At 36.0% G+C, this 9,611-nt stretch overlaps 1 pseudogene, besides 1 other annotated feature; it reads left to right on the top strand.

Annotated features, from left to right (window-relative positions):
• On the top strand, positions 204 to 1,104 carry OR8B6P (olfactory receptor family 8 subfamily B member 6 pseudogene; annotated as a pseudogene).
• Positions 5,907 to 6,105: a silencer, noted in NCBI's record as "fragment chr11:124203707-124203905 (GRCh37/hg19 assembly coordinates)". NCBI's record gives its function as "represses an EF-1alpha promoter that drives an FKBP-Casp9 reporter gene in an ReSE screen in phorbol 12-myristate 13-acetate-treated (for megakaryocytic differentiation) K562 erythroleukemia cells {active_cell/tissue: K562(+PMA)}" and the evidence as "EXISTENCE:reporter gene assay evidence [ECO:0000049][PMID:32094911]".

Raw genomic sequence — 9,611 nt, 5'->3', positions numbered from 1 at the left:
CTGCTGTATTTGACTTCCTACAACTTGAAAAAGGGGAAGTCAGTGTCACTCAGTATCATGATAGCAGTAAAGGCAGATTATGTGGGTCCATATTAGGCTAGTCTCAGATAATCCCAGCATATACTCTACTCTTACGGGAGGAGAAATTGTGGGAAGAGCTGTGTTGCTCTTGAATGGAAGCTTTTTTTCCTGTGTCCACAGATACCCTCAGAGAAGAATGGCTCCTGGAAATGGCTTTTTCATGACTAAAATCATTTTGCTGGAGTTAACAGATCAGCCAGATCTCCAACTCCCTCTGTTCTTCCTGTTTCTAGTGTATGGTCACTGCGTTGGGAAATTTGGCTTGGTAACTCTCGTTGTGCTCAATTCACACCTTCATACCCCCATGTACTTTTTCCTCTTTAACTTGTCCTTCATAGATCTCTGTTATTCTTCTGTGTTTACACCCCAAATGCTGATGAACTTCATAACACAGAAGGATATTATCTCCCACATGGGGTGCATGTCCCAGCTTTTCTTTTTTCTTTATTTTTTTTTGGTATTTCTGAATGCTATGTGCTCACCTCAATGGCCTATGATCAGCATGTCACCATGATCACCATGTAGCCATCTGTAACCCACTTTTGTATAATATTGCCATGTCCCCCAAAGTGTACTCTCACCTTATGCTTGGTTTATACTTGCTAGCCTTTTCTAGTGCCATGGCCCACACTGGATGCATGCTGAGACTGACCTTCTGTGATGCAAACACCATCCATCCCTATTTGTGTGACATCCTCCCTCTGCTCCAGCTCTCTTGCACCGGCACCTACATCAATGAGCTGGTGGTTTCCATTGCAGCAGTCATTATTTTCCACTGTCACCATATTTATCTCTTGTGGTTGCAGCTCCTACATCATCCTCCACATCAACTCCAAGGAGGGCAGGTCCAAAGCCTTGAACACCTGCAGTTCCAACCTAATTGCTGTTTCTCTTAGTTTGGATCGTGTGCATTTATGTGTCTCAAACCATCTTCTGCTGGGTCCATGGATGAGGGAAAGATTTCTTCTGTCTTTTACACCAATACAGCTCCCTTGATGAACCCCTTAATCTACAGTTTGATGAATAAAATGTTCAACTTTCTCTGAGAAAAAAACCCTAGTAGGAAAAAATTTTGACTAGAAATAGTATCTTTCTGTGCATGTATTTTTAGGACAGGGAGCTTCTGTTGTTATTTATGATATTTTGGTAGTACTCTTCCTATTCTAATTCTTTCTTATTATAGTGAAGAAAATTTGAGTCTTCTCTCAATAATTTATTTTCCCTTTTCAAAGATCATGTTTTCCTCCTTTCCTCATCATTTGTATAATTCTTTTCTCCTCACATTTTTTCTTGTATAGTAGTAGCATTAGGGAAGAAATTTATATTTTTATAATGTCATTTTTAACATTACTTTTTCCTCTAGGAAAAGATAAATGGTCTGCAAATGATCAAGCAAATTAACACTTTCTGCATCACTGTGTTGTCAGAGGGGTGGAAATTATTATTCAACATTTGCCACTGGAGGTGGGAATCAGACAGTCTGTTTCTGCTACCATCTCTCCATCATCTTCTGGGCAAACATATGTCTCCTTTAAAAGCCAGAAATGAAAACCCTAGAAGAAAACCTAGGAAATACCATTCAGGACATAGGCATGGGCAAGGACTTCATGTCTAAAACACCAAAAGCAATGGCAACAAAAGCCAAAATTGACAAATGGGATCTAATTAAACTAAAGAGCTTCTGCACAGCAAAAGAAACTACCATCAGAGTGAACAGGCAACCTACAGAATGGGAGAAAATTTTCGCAACCTACTCATCTGACAAAGGGCTAATATCCAGAATCTACAATGAACTCAAACAAATCTACAAGAAAAAAACAAACAACCCTATCAAAAAGTGGGCAAAGGATATGAACAGACACTTCTCAAAAGAAGACATTTATGCAGCCAAAAAACACATGAAAAAATGCTCATCATCACTGGCCATCAGAGAAATGCAAATCAAAACCACAATGAGATACCATCTAACACCAGTTAGAATGGCAATCATTAAAAAGTCAGGAAACAACAGGTGCTGGAGAGGATGTGGAGAAATAGGAACACTTTTACACTGTTGGTGGGACTGTAAACTAGTTCAACCCTTGTGGAAGTCAGTGTGGCCATTCCTCAGGGATCTAGAACTAGAAATACCATTTGACCCAGCCATCCCATTACTGGGTATATACCCGAAGGACTATAAATCATGCTGCTATAAAGACACATGCACACGTATGTTTATTGCGGCACTATTCAGAATAGCAAAGACTTGGAACCAACCCAAATGTCCAATAACGATAGACTGGATTAAGAAAATGTGGCACATATACACCATGGAATACTATGCAGCCATAAAAAATGATGAGTTCATGTCCTTTGTAGGGACATGGATGAAACTGGAAACCATCATTCTCAGCAAACTATCGCAAGGACAAAAAATCAAACACCGCATGTTCTCACTCATAGGTGGGAATTGAACAATGAGAACACATGGACACAGGCAGGGGAACATCACACTCTGGGGACTGTTGTGGGGTCGGGGGAGGGGGTAGGGATAGCATTGGGAGATATACCTAATGCTAAATGACGAGTTAATGGGTGCAGCACACCAACATGGCACATGTCTACATATGTAACAAACCTGCACATTGTGCACATGTACCCTAAAACTTAAAGTGTAACAATAAAAAAAAAAAAAAAAAAGCCAGAGATGAAAAGTTTCTTAAGGACTAGTAAGTATAACCTACTTTGCAGCTTTAAACAGCATAGATTAAGCTTTTTTTTGGTCAAATAGTTTTCTTATTTATTTTTACACACAAACCAGCACATAAAAGAAGGACATTTATTTATTACATGGATGGGAAAGTGAAGCTCTTCATGGTAATGATTTACTTAGTCACACAACTTCTTAATGAAAAAGTCTAGACTAAACATTTTGCCTTCTGATTTCAAGTCCACTGCTCTTCTTAGTACATTTTGTTTCTGTTTTACTATTTTTATTTCAGTTAATATGGAATATAAGAAAACATTTCTAATTTGGAAATTGACTGTGCTTTGTTCCAGAATGATACATAAATGTCTAACAGAATGTGTATCGCTTCTTTTATGCTTGTTTAGGAAAACAGTTTGACGGTTCTTATTGTTGGGAAAGAGGACATCTTTTAAGCTAGTATGAAGTTAATGGGTGCAGCACACCAACATGGCACATGTATACATATGTAACAAACCTGCATATTGGGCACATATACCCTAAAACTTAAAGTATAATAAAAAAAAGAAATCTTAAATTGAGTCCATAAAGTAAAATATGGCACACTTTTAATAATCAATATAAGAATTATCCAATGTATGGCATATCTCAAATTGGATGAATTCTTTATCTGCAAATATGTTTCTTGGTATTTGTGGCTTCTTCATCTATGAAACTAAATTAATTACTGATTAATTAATTTTTTTTACTGTTAGCCTCAAAATACATTTTTTTTTATTATACTTTAAGTTTTAGGGTACATGTGCACATTGTGCAGGTTAGTTACATATGTATACATGTGCCATGCTGGTGCGCTGCACCCACTAACTCGTCATCTAGCATTAGGTATATCTCCCAATGCTATCCCTCCCCCCTCCCCCCACCCCACCACAGTCCCCAGAGTGTGATATTCCCCTTCCTGTGTCCATGTGATCTCATTGTTCAATTCCCACCTATGAGTGAGAATATGCGGTGTTTGGTTTTTTGTTCTTGCGATAGTTTACTGAGAATGATGGTTTCCAATTTCATCCATGTCCCTACAAAGGACATGAATGAACTCATCATTTTTTATGGCTGCATAGTATTCCATGGTGTATATGTGCCACATTTTCTTAATCCAGTCTATCATTGTTGGACATTTGGGTTGGTTCAAAATACATTTAAATGTTAAACGAATACTCTTTCTTAAAGAATATATGCTAAAGATAATTTAAAAAAGTCAAACAGGAGGTGAGTTTTTCGGAAAATAAAAAAATGACTTTGAAATGTTATCAGGATCATTTATTTGATAGATCTAAGCATGGGAGTGAAAGGACTCAAAGAGACACACGGCTGATAAATGAGATCCCTCTGTAGAGAATGGTCAGTAAGACTGTAGAAACCACTTTCATTTCCTGTTATTTTTAAATTTTTTAAATTATTTTTAATTTTGGCGAGTAATCTGAATTTGTATTCTATTCTGTGGAGCACCGTATCTTGTACTCTCCATTAAGCTTCGATAACAATTATAACATGCACATGGTGTTATTATTTGGGGAATGTAAATGGAAAAGCTGTGGCCACATTTGTGAGGAATTAGGTAGAGAAGGAATAGCAACAACTTCTTGATAAAAAAAATAATGAGTGGTGTTTGAAATTCTACTTAGGAAGACACAATTTAGAAAGTAAAATGATGGAAAATGAAATCCCTTACTTAGAATTCTCCTCTCCTTGGAGGCTCTAGGAAATTGTGGAGATCATAGGATTTATCTTAGTGGTGTAAAAGATGACATTGCTTGATATTAATTCCAGAGGGCTGGGAGTCCTAGGAACAGCCAAATCACACTTGCTTTTCTTGGTTTTCATGTGTTCCTTGCATATGGATTTTAAGCTATGAAAACCTCAAACTGTAGCTGAGAGAGATATGATAATTTGAAAAAAAATTGATTTACCAAATTTAACAAATCGTATCAGTCTTTTCTGGAATAGGAGGGTAGATTATTTTTCCTTTGGGAAATCAGACAAAAATATGACTACTCAAAAATCATCAATCTTATATAGAAATGGACAACTATTTTCTAACATAACTATAACGATATTTACTATTTTTCCATTTTATAATCTCTACTCAATATTTTGGTATTAAAAAATTCATCCTAACTTCTTTGTTGGCTTATTGTTTTTGATGTTCAGCATTACTAAATTTTTGACTTATGGTTTGAAATGGCTGCTCATTCCTGATTGCTGATCCTGGTATCAACATGCCTGATTTAACCCTTAACAAATTCTATTCTTACAAAATAGCTGAAGTTGGTTGGAGGTTTATTTTTACCATTTCTTTTATTTGCTGTCCCTTTTGATAAAATTATTTTCCTTAGTTAAAAAATGTATTTAAATAAGTAAATAATATCTGTGCTAGTTGGTACTCGGTGGACATTTCAGAGGTGTGTCCATACTTTATGTATTTTATCACTGTTTGAAATGGCCAAAGAGGTGGATTAAACTGGGTCACTGATCTTTCATGTGAAGACCCTCAAAATGCAGATGAAATCAGTTTTATTTTCAGAAAAGATAAACTTAAAAATATGTTCTAATCTAAAACTGAGAAATCCCATAAGTCTGGCACAGTCGGTTTTTCTCTCTAGCGTCAGGACATGTCACTCACTGTTAATTAAGCTTTGCACCAGATCAAGCATGTAGTTTATCTGCAGGCTTTGTTGTGCAAAAGAAATACTTTCTTTATTTTTTTTTTTTTCTGAGACGGAGTCTTGCTCTGTCACCCAGACTGGAGTGCAGTAGTGATCTCGGCTCACTGCAACCTCTGCCGCCCAGGTTCAAGCGATTCTCCTGCCTCAGCCTCCCAAGTAGCTGGGATTACAGGCATGTGCCATCACGCCTGGCTAATTTTTGTATTTTTAGTAGAGACAGGGTTTCACCATGTTGTCCAGGCTGGTCTCAAACTCCTGACCTCATGATCCACCAGCCAAAGTGCTGGGGTTACAAGCATGAGCTCCCGCACCCTGCCAAGAAATACCTTTAAACATTAAGTTATCACTCATTGATAGAAGCGTTCCCTTTGAGGGCAGAGACTTAATCGTCCTCAGTGAGGAGGAGGCTGGTGGAATCACTTGCACTGTTTAAAGTCTTTCTGCCATAGAGTTGAATTAACCCACTACAAACATCAATATAGAGACGTGTCCAGGTGTTGTAGTTTGTCTTTGGAGGAGAGTTGTGCACAGTTTCCTCTACACTGTCCCATCTGTCAGTCCCTGTGCTCCTCAGGAAGAAGTGGGAGGTAAATGAGCAAGGGAATCCCAGATTCAGTCCCACGGATGGTAGGTGTGGTGCTCAGAGATGTTGGTGGCTTGTTGTAGATTACAACATACAGGTGGTAGAGCTGGGATCAGGACTCGGGTGTTGGATTCTAAATTGATCAGGATTTTATTTTCTTTTTAATTATACAAAATTTTTCTACTTTAAAAATCAGTTAATTATGAATATTATTTTTAGTAAATAAAAATGTCTTGAAATACAAATAAAAGCAAAATACTCAAGAAAAAATGTCTTACGAGTATTCTTCATATTTCATATTTCATAGTTCTGTTGTTCAATTTAGAATACGTGAGTATGTTCTTATTTTCTTCTGGCCAATACAATAAATAAAAAAACAAGAATGGCCTAGATAAATCCTGATTTTTATTGGTTCTTACTAAGTTCCAGGGTGAGCAGTACATTTTTACATTTAATGTCTTATTTAATCTCACATTGATGATAATTGGCAGACACTGATATAATGATAGTTATATCATAGCAGTAATCTCTGCCACACTGGTATATAATGATATAACTATCATTATATACCAGTGTGGCAGAGATTACTGCTGTTCAATCTTCCTCCAAAACATACATTTCCCAGTCTTTCTTGCAGTGTGCTCTTGCATGTGACTGAGTTCCAGACGTGATGCACACTGTTTCAAGGCAAATGTGTGCCATTTCCACCTTCTCTTTGTCCTTCTCTGAGCAGGATACAGATGACAAAGATGCTCTCGTTAGTTATAAAGTTATAAAGCAAAGCCACACAATCAGGATGGGGAATGTAAAAATAGATGGAGCTACAATCAAGACGCAGCACATGGCGGGCCCTGGGGGTGCTGGTGATTTTTTACTTATAGATCTGTGTGGTGGTTAAAAGCTGCTCATTTTATAAAAATTGGTTGAAGTACATATTTTATATACTTTTACATCTATATCATCTATATATATGTATGCTATATTTCATAATACAATAAGTTTACAAAGCCCGAGCTCTACTTAAAGGGAACAATTAACTAATCTATAAACAGAGACGGAGAATAAAGCCTCGAATTACGGGAACAGCTTGTTAATACAGAATGGCTTATACGGAAGAGGAGCAGCAGTAGTATAAGACATACAGAAGAATCCAGTGCAGACCAGGGCAGAGAGTATTCTCATTTACTAAGTATGAGTTGAGGGATTTTCTCCGGTGTTTATAGGAGGATAAAAGTCAATATATAATCCCATTATATACATTTGTCATATATTATATAACATTGTGCTTAGCTTAAGGGTATCAAAATGAGGGCATATATATTTTTTCATCTTATGTAAGTTCATTTGCCCAATTATGGCAATTTATATCTTTCAATAATTGGTCCATTTCATTGGTTTGCAAATTAAATAACTGTAAATTTGTTCATAATATTCCCTTATTTTCCTTTAATGTGTGTAGGCTCTGTAGCCACATTCTCTGATGTATCTGATATTGCTAATTTTTGTCTTTTCCTTTTCTGCCCAAACTGTCTAGTTAGAGGAATATCACTTTTATTGATGTAAAAAGCACAGCTTTCAAATGAACTTATTTATATATTCTTCTATTTCCTACTTTTTCAACCATTATCTTTACTCTTATTTTCTGCTTATTTTGAATTAAAAATTTTTTTCTGGATATTTTATGAGATAGAAGTTTATGTCTAACTTGAAATCTCTCTTCTTTTCCAATATAGGCACTTGGATGCCATAAATTGCCATGTAAGCACTATATTTAACTATGTTTCATGTATTTTCATATGTTGTATTTACGTCTTCATTCACTTAAAAATATTTTCTGATTTCTGTTTTATTTCATGTTTTCGTTTATGTAAAGTTTACTCTTTTTTTCTGGAAACAGCTTTTTTTAGATAAAAACTAACACACCACGTAATTCACACATTTAAAGTGTGCAATGCAATGGTTTTGGCTTTACTCACAGAACTGTGCAACCATAACCATAATCAGTTTTAGAGCCTTCATGTCACCTCCAGAGGAAACCCCAAACCATTTAGCCATTGTCCTCCTATCTTCCACCCCGACCCTGGACAATGACCCATCTACTTTCTAGGGATGTTTTGTCTGTGGATTTGCAGCTATGGACATTTTATATCCATGGAGTAATATAGCATATGTTCTTTGTGACTGGCTTTCCTCGCTTGGCATATCGTTTTCATGGCTTATCCATGTTGTAACTTATAAATGTGCTTCATTCTTTTATCATATAATATTCCATTGTATGAATATGCCACATTTTGTTTACCCATTCATCAGTTAATGGATATTTTGATTTTTCTAGTTCTTGGCTATTATGAGTAATGGTGCTAATGAACATTCATATACAAGCTTTTATGTGGACATAGGTTTTCATTTCTCTTGGGAGAGAAAACACTGGGTTATATGGTAATTCTATTTTTAATGTTTTGTGGTACTGCTAGACTGGTTTTCAAAGTGACTGCATTATTTGATATTCCCACCAGTGACAACTTTTACAACCTCATCTCACCAGTGCTTGGTATTATCTTTTATTTTTTATAATTATAGTTATCCTAGTGTTTGTGTGTGGTAATATTTCATTGTGTTTTTGATTCACATTTCCCTCATTACCAGTGATATGGAGCATCTTTTTCTGTGTTTATTTGCTTTTTTAAATATCTTTTTGAAGAAATGTTTTATCAAATCCTGTCCTTATTTTAAAATTGGGTTGTCTTTTAATATTTTTATGCTGTTACAATACTCAGTGTATTCAGAATACTAGATCCTATCAGATATATGATTTGAAAACATTTCTCTTCTGTGGATTGTCTCTTAACTCTCTTGATAATGTCTTTTCTGATGTTTTCTTCTGAGAGCTTTATAATATTACTTCTTACATTTAGAGGCATGATTATACTTTTAATTTTTATAGTGTAGGTGTCCAATTTATTATTTTGAATATGAACATCCAGTTATTCCAGCACCATTTGTTGAAAAGACTGTTCTGTCTCCATTTAATTGTCTAGGCATCCCTCTCAAAAATAAACTGACCATAAATTATGTGTGTGTGTGCATGCGTGCATGCATGTATAATCTAGTAAGTACAGTGAATTTGTGTCTATTCGCTAATTCTTTTGTTTCTTCAATTGTTATTTATATGAGCTTCTTACTATACTGGCATCTTTTTTTTTTTTTTTTTTTTTTGAGATGGAGTCTTGCCCTGTCGTCCAGGCTGGTGTGCAATGGCATGATCTCGGCTCACTGCAACCTCTGCCTCCTGGGTTCATACAATTCTCCTGCCTCAGCCTCCTGAGTAGCTGAGATTACAGGCACTTACCACCATACTCAGCTAATTTGGTATCTGTTCTTTAAGGGCTACTATTCCCATTGGTTAACAGATAAAAATAAAGGTACAGGTGGTGGTAAAATGCTTGCAGATGACTATATTCATCATTTGTTATCATCCAGAACAGGAAGAGTGAAGGTGGGGAGGAAAGAGGAAGAGTTCTTCAGTGCTTTCTTT

The sequence above is a fragment of the Homo sapiens genome, chromosome 11 (assembly GCF_000001405.40).
Source record: "Homo sapiens chromosome 11, GRCh38.p14 Primary Assembly".
NCBI lineage: Eukaryota > Metazoa > Chordata > Mammalia > Primates > Hominidae > Homo > Homo sapiens.
This window is presented reverse-complemented; position numbering and strand designations above follow the sequence as displayed.